At 37.4% G+C, this 12,719-nt stretch overlaps 1 protein-coding gene and 1 pseudogene across 28 annotated transcripts in view; one reads left to right on the top strand and one right to left on the bottom strand.

Annotated features, from left to right (window-relative positions):
- MBD5 (methyl-CpG binding domain protein 5) overlaps window positions 1-12,719 on the bottom strand; it is a 496,045-nt gene that overhangs the window by 183,713 nt on the left and 299,613 nt on the right. Inside the window, exon 1 of one of the 28 annotated variants that reach the window (XM_047445082.1) lies at window positions 2,659-5,929. The exons of the other annotated variants lie outside the window; for them this stretch is intronic. The gene's annotated coding sequence lies outside the window, so the exon portion shown is untranslated. Of the gene's footprint in view, window positions 1-2,658; window positions 5,930-12,719 lie in introns of those variants that run through there. 28 annotated transcript variants of the gene reach the window in all.
- Window positions 1,221-1,876, top strand: LOC641381 (ARF like GTPase 5A pseudogene; annotated as a pseudogene).

Below are 12,719 nucleotides of genomic sequence, written 5' to 3'. Positions count from 1 at the left end.
CCTTAACTATAAGGTGACAGCCAAGGACCACTAGACTTCTGAGGAAAGCCCTTAACAGGAAAGATGGAGGGTAAAACAAACAGAAAATAAGACTCTTTAGGGACATAAAATTTGAAAAAATGTTTCTAACATATAAGAGAAGAACTACATCCATGAAAGAAGAACAGATGGTCTAAACAAAAACAAAAGAATATTCAGGGAACAAGAAAGTACTGCTGAGAGACAAAATAATGATAGAAATGAAGAACTCAATAGAAAGGTCAGATCTCCCTGCAAGTAAAGACACTAAGAAAAAACAAACATAGGAGACAAAGGACATGAATATTAGAAAATTAGTCTGGGAGGTTCAACATCCAAATAACAGAAGGAGAGAACCAAGAAAATAAAAAGAAAAAAAATTCAAAAAATCATTTATAAAATTTTCCTGCACTAAAGAAGATGAATTTTCAGATTAAAAGGGCTCACTGAGTACCTGGCTGAATGAATGAAAATAGGCCTCCAAAAGGGCATATCCTAATAAAATTTCAGATCTCTGATAGAAATAGAAAATCTTAATAGCTTCTAGAAACGAAAAATAGATAAAACAGAAATCAGACTATCTTTCAACTTTTCAACACTGGAGGCTAAAAGACAATGGAGGGAAGACATAAAAATTCAGAAAGAAAATGAATTACAAACCAGAATCCTATACTCAGCCACAATATCAATCAAATGTCAGTAAACAATAAAGACATCTTCAGACAGGCAAGACCAACTCAAGAAGGAAAAGACATGAAAACTGGGAGATCCAACTCAAAACAGGGGCAGAAAGAAGCCTCAAGTTGATAGTGAAAAGGGATCTGTACTATGTGGGACACAGTTTTCAGCCAAATCAGAAATAAGTACATAGAGAACCAAGCAAATGACAAGACAGTTATTAATTTTAGGAAAAGCAGAGTTAGATACAGGATATGGTTCAGCTATGAACTGAGTTTGTATCATTATAATAACATGCACAATTGAATATTAAACTTAACAAAATCATTATATAACTATATAGAAATGATGGTGTGCTTGTGGCAGTAGGGTAGGAGATAATAAAGAGATCTAAGTCTATAGCTTGCATAGTAAGGATTTAGTAGATTACCTGTGAAATTGAAAAAAAATCAAGAAGTAGAAATATAATCATGTGATTTAGAGATATTCTGTTTTATAATTACCAAAAGACACAGTTAAAAAAGAATTTGCAAATTTCTTCTTTCTTATTTTGGTACTTGGAATATAGTGTGAGATTTTTTATTTCTAGATTTTGTTTTATCTTCTGTTACATAAACTCATTGTTTGATAATTATAAAATGCAAGTGTTTTTTGAGTGATTTTAAGAATTTGGCTTAAAAATTGATTGCTACCATGTATTATTTTTACTAAGAAGTAACTTGACCCAAAACACCCTGTATGTTTGCTTAGGGTATTTTTTTTCAATGTCTGAAAGTCAAAGGCATTCCTGTCACAACTGTAAACAAACTTATCCTAACTGTGTTAAAACATATTATTGGGTACTCTATTTGTATATCTTTCATGCCTTGAAAATCTGAAGGTTAATCCAAACTCACATGTTTTAGCATATTTAAGAAAAAAAACTACTTTTAATATCAGCCTTTTAAATTTCATGAAGATTTTGGTGAGGAATAATAGTATACACTTTAAGTATTGACAAAACTTTGAAAGTTCCTTTCTATAAAATGGGAAATACTCAATATCTAAATACACATCAGGCATGAGAAATCAGCATTTAACACTGGATGTTTTGTGTTTTGTATTTATAATGTTCAAAATGCAAGCATAATATTTAATCTTTGTCCACATGGCTTTACAAAAGTAAATCTTAAATTACCAAAAAAAAAAAAATGGAAAATGATTGCATCTGGGGATTGGAAACTGATGGTAGGAAGCTTAGAGCAGGGGACTGCTGTTGTAAGTCTTGAACGACTACTTAATTTTTTAAATAATTTGATGTGTAACTTTGATAAATTTAAAAAAGCATAAAATTAACTTTAATAATCTGTGGAAACTAAGTAGGCATTTATAAATTCTTAAGTGTGCTGCATATGAATTGCTGTCTCATACAACTTTATAGGAGAAATTTCTAGAAAACAGGTATTGTACCAGACAAGTATCTGCCATGGAAGCTAGCATATAGCAGATATGTAAACATCACTACTTTATTTGGTAACCATGACAAAAACAGACACTGTTGTGGGTAGGAGCATAGGTTCTAGATTAGATTCAAATCCTGGCTCTATTTCTTTCTAGTTATATAATCTTGGATAAGATATTAAACCTCTTTTTGCTTAAGCTCCCTTATCTGTAAAATCTTCATTTCATAGGAATGTGGTGATTTTTAAATGATACATGAACAGTAATTACCAAAATGCCTGAGACATAGTAAGTAGCTAATACTTGTTAGCTATTTTGATTTAGTATTCCAAAATTCCTAACTTTGGATCATAAGGATCATGTCCACTGCACCTCTTCCTACTCCTCCACACTGATCTTGGGACATTTTATTTCACACAAATGTCTTGTTCAACTACCCCACACAGATCAAACTCACTTATCACCGTAAAGACAATCATGCCTGATTAACTACAAAACATAGACTAGAAATAGATGTCATACCTGAAACCACGTCTCTTTTCTTTTCCATCCTTTTTCCTTTAAGAAATCTATAGCAGGATTTGTAATGAGAAGACTTACATTTGAGTAGGTCATATAGCCTGAGTATCCATTTTCTCATCTGTAAAATGGAGATGATTGCATCTGCTGGAGTGGATGTTTGTTGTTTGACTTCTCACCATTCTTTCCTGCTACTTCTGGTAGCTGTATATGGATTTTCCTTTGGAAATCTTACCCCACCTCTAGAGATGTGTCTAGCTGCCAAAGTCAATCAGCATATCCTTCTCTCTCTCTGTCTACAGTGATGGGTCCAGAGATTGGCATTTAGCCAAATCAGGGCCAATGATGCTCAAAACTGTCAGGGCTACCAAGACTGGAGTTAAAAATGCCGCTAATCCAGAGAGAGAGAAGCTGGGAGTCTCATATCAACCTATCTGAACATTTCATCCTATGACCCACCATACCCTTTTTTGGCCTAAGGTAGAGTGTGTGTGTGTGTGTGTGTGTGTGTGTGTATGGCAGGAGGGCTTTAGGCAGTGTGTGTGTGTGTGTGGGGGGGGCGGGGGGGGGTTCTTACCTACAACCAAGGAAGTCTTAACTCTTGCCTACCTTATCGGTATTATCTTCAATGTTTCTGGGATGAACTGATATGATAGATATAAAAATATTTGGTAAACTCAAAGCAGCATGCAAATGGTAACTGTTATTACTAACATAATTTTTTATAAAACAAGCCTAATGTCTACACAAAGCAAGTTATGCCTTGTAACAGTTACAAATAATTTTTATAAAAACCAAAGTACCCTGTTAAAAGTCTTGACACATTGGATATTATTTGTGAATACATATTTTGTATAAAATATAAGAATGTGCAATTGTTGCTCAAATCATTCCAGGTTATGCCTCTGACAGTAGCTCATTTGCCTTTCTTATACATCAAACATAAAAGGTTAAGCTAGTATCCCTCAAATCTCTATTTTTGCCCTGTGATATTTATGCTCCATAAACCTATTTGAACCCTTATGAAAATATGTATTCTCTACTAATTACTTATAAGTGAATTTTACTGGGCTTAATTAGTACAGTCTGGAGAAGTACAATTGTTTTATTATTTATAAATAAAACATTAAGGGGAAATTGAAAAAAGGTACCTACTCCATATTTTTAAAAAGATGATTTCATAAACTTATAAAATACTTTGAAGTCAGAATAAAAATTGAAAGTAAATGGATATTCCAAATAAGCTCACAGCCTTTAAAAAAGCATTTGTTTTCTTAAAATTATCTATCTATTTATGTCTATAGGATTAATTTGACTGGCACTTCTTTTCTTTCTGGCTAAAGGAGAAGTAAACTTCAGCTCAACTACTGTTTCATTTCTCAGAAACTGAGTAAGTGCAGTTGAAATAAATGTTGTTTTACAGTATTTGCTCCATCTGATATATCCTTGGTTTTATCTCCAGGTTAGGATCCTTTAGGTAAAGGGTCAGATAATCAGCTAATGAGGCTGATTTTTGTCTCACCCTCTATTATCATTACCTAATGACAGTGAATGTAATAATGCAAAAATGATCATGAGCATGTATGTATACATTTTCTCAATTAAAAATATTCAATTAAGAATTTTAAAATTGAGCTATAATGACTTTTTCAAAAGACAGAAAACAATGAAATAAGAATGATATTCTTGAATTAAAGATAACTTTAATTAAAGATGCCCTGTTGTTTCTGATCTAAAAAGATATATATGGATGGCCGAATAGGAACAGCTCCGGTCTACAGCTCCCAGAGTGAGCAACGCAGAAGACGGGTGATTTCTGCATTTCCATCTGAGGTACTGGGTTCATCTCACTAGGGAGTGCCAGACAGTGGGCGCAGGTCAGTGGGTGCACGCACCATGTGCGAGCCAAAGCAGGGTGAGGCATTGCCTCACTCGGGAAGCGCAAGGGGTCAGGGAGTTCCCTTTCCTAGTCAAAGAAAGTGGTGACAGAGGGCACCTGGAAAATTGGGTCACTCCCACCCGAATACTGCGCTTTTCCGATGGGCTTAAAAAGCGGTGCACCAGGAGATTATATCCTGCACCTGGGTCGGAGGGTCCTACGCCCACAGAGTCTGGCTGATTGCTAGCACAGCAGTCTGAGATCAAACTGCAAGGCAGCAGCGAGGCTAGGGGAGGGGCGCCCACCATTGCCCAGGCTTGCTTAGGTAAACAAAGCAGCTGGGAAGCTCCAACTGGGTGGAGCCCACCACAGCTCAAGGAGGCCTGCCTGCCTCTGTAGGCTCCACCTCTGGGGGCACGGCACAGACAAACAAAAAGACAGCAGTAACCTCTGCAGACTTAAATGTCCCTGTCTGACAGCTTTGAAGAGAGCAGTGGTCCTCCCAGTACGCAGCTGGAGATCTGAGAATGGGCAGACTGCCTCCTCAAGTGGGTCCCTGACCCCTGACCCCCGAGCAGCCTAACTAGGAGGCACCCCCCAGCAGGGGCAGACTGACACCTCACACGGCCGGGTACTCCAACAGACCTGCAGCTGAGGGTCCTGTCTGTTAGAAGGGAAACTAACAAACAGAAAGGACATCCACACCAAAAACCCATCTGTACATCACCATCATCAAAGAGCAAAAGTAGATAAAACCACAAAGATGGGGAAAAAACAGAGCAGAAAAACTGGAAACTCTAAAAAGCAGAGCGCCTCTCCTCCTCCAAAGGAACGCAGTTCCTCACCAGCAACAGAACAAAGCTGGACGGAGATGACTTTGACGAGCTGAGAGAAGAAGGCTTCAGACGATCAAATTACTCCGAGCTATGGAAGGACATTCAAACCAAAGGCAAAGGAGTTGAAAACTTTGAAAAAAATTTAAAAGAATGTATAACTAGAATAACCAATACGGAGAAGTGCTTAAAGGAGCTGATGGAGCTGAAAACCAAGGCTCGATAACTATGTGAAGAATGCAGAAGCCTCAGGAGCCAATGCGATCAACTGGAAGAAAGGGTATCAGCGATGGAAGATGAAATGAATGAAATGAAGCGAGAAGGGAAGTTTAGAGAAAAAAGAATAAAAAGAAACGAGCAAAGCCTCCAAGAAATATGGGACTATGTGAAAAGACCAAATCTACGTCTGACTGGTGTACCTGAAAGTGATGGGGAGAATGGAACCCCCCCTCTGCAGGAAACACTCTAAAGGATATTATCCAGGAGAACTTCCCCAATCTAGCAAGGCAGGCCAACATTCAGATTCAGGAAATACAGAGAACGCCACAAAGATACTCCTCGAGAAGAGCAACTCCAAGACACATAATTGTCAGATTCATCAAAGTTGAAATGAAGGAAAAAATGTTAAGGGCAGCAAGAGAGAAAGGTCAGGCTACCCTCAAAGGGAAGCCCATAAGACTAACAGCAGATCTCTCGGCAGAAACTCTACAAGCCAGAAGAGAGTTCAGGCCAATATTCAACATTCTTAAAGAAAAGAATTTTCAACCCAGAATTTCATATCCAGCCAAACTAAGCTTCATAAGTGATGGAGAAATAAAATACTTTACAGACAAGCAAATGCTGAGAGATTTTGTCACCACCAGGCCTTCCCTAAAAGAGCTCCTGAAGGAAGCACTAAACATGGAAAGGAACAACCGGTACCAGCCGCTGCAAAATCATGCCAAAATGTAAAGACCATCGAGACTGGGAAGAAACTGCATCAACTAACGAGCAAAATCACCAGCTAACATCATAATGACAGGATCAAATTCACACATAACAATATTAACTTTAAATGTAAATGGACTAAATGCTCCAATTAAAAGACACAGACTGGCAAATTGGATAAAGAGTCAAGACCCATCAGTGTGCTGTATTCAGGAAACCCATCTCACAGGCAGAGACACACATAGGCTCAAAATAAAAGGATGGAGGAAGATCTACCAAGCAAATGGAAAACAAAAAAAGGCAGGGGTTGCAATCCTAGTCTCTGATAAAACAGACTTTAAACCAACAAAGATCAAAAGAGACAAAGAAGGCCATTACTCAATGGTAAAGGGATCAATTCACCAAGAAAAGCTAACTATCCTAAATATATGTGCACCCAATACAGGAGCACCCAGATTCATAAAGCAAGTCCTGAGTGACCTACAAAGAGACTTAGACTCCCACACATTAATAATGGGAGATTTTAACACCCCACTGTCAACATTAGACAGATCAACGAGACAGAAAGTCAACAAGGATACCCAGGAATTGAACACAGCTCTGCACCAAGCGGACCTAATAGACATCTACGGAACTCTCCACCCCAAATCAACAGAATATACATTTTTTTCAGCACCACACCACACCTATTCCAAAATTTACCACATACTTGGAAGTAAAGCTCTCCTCAGCAAATGTAAAAGAACAGAAATTATAACAAACTATATCTCAGACCGTAGTGCAATCAAACTAGAACTCAGGATTAAGAATCTCACTCAAAACCACTCACCTACAAGGAAACTGAACAACCTGCTCCTGAATGACTACTGGGTACATAACGAAATGAAGGCAGAAATAAAGATGTTCTTTGAAACCAATGAGAACAAAGACACAACATACCAGAATCTCTGGGACACATTCAAAGCAGTATGTAGAGGGAAATTTATAGCACTAAATGCCCACAAGAGAAAGCAGGAAAGATCCAAAATTGACACCCTAACATCACAATTAAAAGAACTAGAAAAGCAAGAGCAAACACATTCAAAAGCTAGCTGAAGGCAAGAAGTAACTAAGATCAGAGCAGAACTGAAGGAAATAGGGACACAAAAAACCGTTCAAAAAATTAACGAATCCAGGAGCTGGTTTTTTTAAAGGATCAACAAAATTGATAGACCACTAGCAAGACTAATAAAGAAAAAAAGAGAGAAGAATCAAGTAGACGCAATAAAAAATGATAAAGGGGATATCACCACCGATCCCACAGAAATACAAACTACTATCAGAGAATACTACAAACACCTCTACGCAAATATACTAGAAAATCTAGAAGAAATGGATAAATTCCTCGACACATACACTCTCCCAAGACTAAACCAGGAAGAAGTTGAATCTCTGAATAGACCAATAACAGGAGCTGATATTGTGGCAATAATCAATAGCTTACCAACGAAAAAGAGTCCAGGACCAGACGGATTCACAGCCGAATTCTACCAGAGGTATAAGGAGGAACTTGTACCATTCCTTCTGAAACTATTCCAATCAATAGAAAAAGAGGGAATCCTCCCTAACTCATTTTATGAGGCCAGCATCATCCTGATACCAAAGCCTGGCAGAGACACAACCAAAAAAGAGAATTTTAGACCAATATCTTTGATGAACATTGATGCAAAAATCCTCAATAAAATACTGGCAAACCGAATCCAACAGCACATCAAAAAGCTTATCCACCATGATCAGGTGGGCTTCATCCCTGGGATGCAAGGCTGGTTCAATATATGCAAATCAATAAATATAATCCAGCATATAAACAGAACCAAAGACAAAAACCACATGATTATCTCAATAGATGCAGAAAAGGCCTGTGACAAAATTCAACAACCCTTCATGCTAAAAACTCTCAACAAATTAGATATTGATGGGATGTATTTCAAAATAAAAAGAGCTATCTATGACAAACCCACAGCCAATATCATACTGAATGGGCAAAAACTGGAAGCATTCCCTTTGAAAACAGGCACAAGACAGGGATTCCCTCTCTCACCACTCCTATTCAACATAGTGTTGGAAGTTCTGGCCAGGGCAATTAGGCAGGAGAAGGAAATAAAGGGTATTCAATTAGGAAAAGAGGAAGTCAAATTGTCCCTGTTTGCAGATGACATGATTGTATATCTAGACAACCCCCTTGTCTCAGCCCAAAATCTCCTTAAGCTGATAAGCAACTTCAGCAAAGTCTCAGGATACAAAATCAATGTACAAAAATCACAAGCATTCTTATACACCAACAACAGACAAACAGAGAGCCAAATCATGAGTGAACTCCCATTCACAATTGCTTCAAAGAGAATAAAATACCTAGGAATCCAACTTACAAGGGATGTGAAGGACCTCTTCAAGAACTACAAAGCACTGCTCAAGGAAATAAAAGAGGATACAAACAAATGGAAGAACATTCCATGCTCATGGGTAGGAAGAATAAATATTGTGAAAATGGCCATACTGCCCAAGGTAATTTAGAGATTCAATGCCATCCCCATCAAGCTACCAATGCCTTTCTTCACAGAATTGGAAAAAACTACTTTAAAGTTCATATGGAACCACAAAAGAGCCGGCAAGTCAATCCTGAGCCAAAAGAACAAAGCTAGAGGCATCACACTACCTGACTTCAAACTATACTACAAGGCTACAGTAACCAAAACAGCATGGTACTGGTACCAAAACAGAGATATAGATCAATGGAACAGAACAGAGCCCTCAGAAATAACGCCACATATCTACAACTACCTGATCTTTGACAAACCTGAGAAAAAAAAGCAAAGGGTAAAGGATTCCCTATTTAATAAATGGTGCTGGGAAAACTGGCTAGCCATATGTAAAAAGCTGTAACTGGATCCCTTCCTTACACCTTATACAAAAATCAATTCAAGATGGATTAAAGACTTAAACGTTAGACCTAAAACCATAAAAACCCTAAAAGAAAACCTAGGCATTACCATTCAAGACATAGGCATGGGCAAGGACTTCCTGTCTAAAACACCAAAAGCAATGGCAACAAAAGCCAAAATTGACAAATGGGATCTAATTAAACTAAAGAGCTTCTGCACAGCAAAATAAACTACCATCAGAGTGAACAGGCAACCTACAAAATGGGAGAAAATTTTTGCAACCTACTCATCTGACAAAGGGCTAATATCCACAATCTACAATGAACTCAAATTTACAAGAAAAAAACAAACAACCCCATCAAAAAGTGGGCAAAGGACATGAACAGACACTTCTCAAAAGAAGACATTTATGCAGCCAAAAAACACATGAAAAAATGCTCACCATCACTGGCCATCAGAGAAATGCAAATCAAAACCACAGTGAGATACCATCTCACACCAGTTAGAATGGCGATCATTAAAAAGTCAGGAAACAACAGGTGCTGGAGAGGATGTGGAGAAATAGGAACACTTTTACACTGTTGGTGGGACTGTAAACTAGTTCAACCGTTGTGGAAGTCAGTGTGGCGATTCCTCAGGGATCTAGAACTAGAAATACCATTTGACCCAGCCATCCCATTACTGGGTATATACCCAAAGGACTATAAATCATGCTGCTATAAAGACACATGCACACATATGTTTATTGCAGCATTATTCAGAATAGCAAAGACTTGGAACCAACCCAAATGTCCAACAATCATAGTCTGGATTAAGAAAATGTGGCACATATACACCATGGAATACTATGCAGCCATAAAAAATGATGAGTTCATGTCCTTTGTAGGGACATGGATGAAATTGGAAATCATCATTCTCAGTAAACTATCGCAAGAACAAAAAACCAAACACCGCATATTCTCATTCCTAGGTGGGAATTGTACAATGAGAACACATGGACACAGGAAGGGGAACATCACAGTCTGGGGACTGTTGTGGGGTTGGGGGAGTGGGGAGGGATAGCATTGGGAGATATACCTAATGCTAGATGACGAGTTAGTGGGTGCAGCGCACCAGCATGGCACATGTATACATAGGTAACTAACCTGCACATTGTGCACATGTACCCTAAAACTTAAAGTATAATAATAATAAATAAATAAATAAAGATATATATAACTTTTGCATCTACTTCATCAGGTTTTTATGTATAAAAGTTATATATATAACTTTTGACTCACTAAACTTAGTTTTAGATGACATTTAGTTGGACTAAGAATTCTGATGAAACTAACATGTGTGTTCAAAATAGTGTGGAACAAAAGCAATTCCGTAAATATTTTGTGCAAAGGCAATGCACATGGAGTAAGTCTACAGTTTCCAAACTGCCACTGAGAAAGTCAAATAATAATCAAGGTATGTAAGTCTTGTGTGTTGTCTCCTTCCCTACAATTACATTTTAAAGTAGGAAAAAATAGGAGTCTGAATATGAAGATAGATTAAACTGCAGATTAAGATCAAATTTCATAAAAATGAGCAACTCTTAGAAACTAACGAAATTTAACAAACATTTATTGAATGTATTCTAGGTAACTAAAGTAGTACTAGGTACAATAGGAAATAGAAAAATGAAAAATACACAGGTCAGGTCCTCAAGGCACTTACAAGCTGTTGAATAGTAAGTTATGTACAACAAGAATGACAACATTCTACTTTAGACTTGAACGTTATAAATGAAGCTAAAAGCTTAGTTGTATAAGCCAATTTACATTCAAATACTTTAGTCCATATTTTCTCAGGTCAATCCGATTACCATCAGTGTTGTATACCTTTATGAATACATATCACTTTACACTGTAGAAATTTGCTTATGTATCTGCCTTCTCGGCTAGCCTATGAGCTTCTCCAGAGCGAGGAAGAACTAGAGGTCATATTATGGAGTCTAGCGTAGAGTACATGCACAACAATTGTGTGGATCAATAAAGCAGATTGTTAGATGTGCTATCAGTGAAATAAATGCAAAGTGAGAATGAGAAAACCAAACAAGGAATAGTTTAATTCCCATTGGAGAGCTTGGAGAAAGGTTCAAAGAGAGTATGGCATTTTAAAAAAATTAAGGCTGGGGGTGGCAGCTCATATCTGTAATCCCAGCACTCTAGGAGGCCGAGGCAGGAGGGTTGCTTTAGGTCAGGAGTTCAAGACCAGCCTGGGTAACATAGTGAGACTTCATCTCTTAAAAAAAGAGTTGGGATTTTAATATATAGAAATAGAGGAAAGAGAGAGTAAGCAAATGGAATGGGAAAGGTTTGCAAAAGCACAAAGGTAAAAAAGTACTGGGGATGCTTTAAAAATATTTATAATCCAGTATTTTCAGAATTCCAGGCTTTTGTGATTGATTGATAGATGTATTAGTGGTATCTTGAAGGTTAGTCTAGATGTTTTTCATAGGCAAGTTAGTAGGGATCTGAGTGGGTCTGCTTTCCCACACCTGCACACCTAGGGGACAAAAACAGATACCACAAAAATGGCCCTTGGGAACCTATCTGCATGACAGGACACAATTCAAATGTCTATAACAAGCTTGTTCAATGCATGGCCTGCAGGCTGCATGAGACCCAGGATGGCTTTGAATGCAGCCCAACACAAATTTGTAAACTTTTAAAACTTTATATGATTTTTTGGCAATTTTTTTTTTTAGTTCATCAGCTATCATTAGTGTTAGTGTATTTTATGTGTGGCCCACGACAATTCTTCTTCCAATGTGATCCAGGGAAGCCAAAGAGATTGGACACCCTTGGTCTATAATAATTTGGAATAATGTAACTGTTTACTAAGTTATATTTCATTGAACAATATACATCTACAGAAATGCAATACATGCTTGCATAATGCAGTTCAATCCAGTATATTTTACCAAATTAATTTGACCACAGAATTCCTTTGTTATGAAATTCCCTTTGGCATATAGGTTTGAAAAATTTTTTTAGTTTCCCTTCATTTAAAATGTAAGGTATCAAATAGAGACAAAAAATAAAAAGGAAAAATGAAATGAAAAGTTGCTCCTCTGAAAAGACAAACAAAATTGATAAACCAATAGCTAGACTAAAAAAGAGGAGAGAAGATCCAAATAAACACAATCAGAAATGAAAAGGGAGACATTACAACTGATACCACAGAAATACAAAAGATTATCAAACTATTATGAACAACTATATGCTCAAAAACTAGAAAACCTAGAGGGATAGAAACATACAACCTCCTGAGGTTGAACCAGGAAGAAATAGAGCCCTTGAACAGATTAATAATGAACAGCAAGATTAAGTCAGTAAATAAAAAAATGTCCCAACAGGGCTGGGTGTGGTGGCTCATGCCTATAGTCCCAGCACTTTGGGAGGCCAAGGCAGGTGGAATGCTTAAGCCCAGGAGTTTGAGACCACCCTGGGCAATATAGTGAAACTCTATCTC

Source organism: Homo sapiens, chromosome 2 (assembly GCF_000001405.40).
Source record: "Homo sapiens chromosome 2, GRCh38.p14 Primary Assembly".
NCBI classification, from domain to species: domain Eukaryota; kingdom Metazoa; phylum Chordata; class Mammalia; order Primates; family Hominidae; genus Homo; species Homo sapiens.
This window is presented reverse-complemented; position numbering and strand designations above follow the sequence as displayed.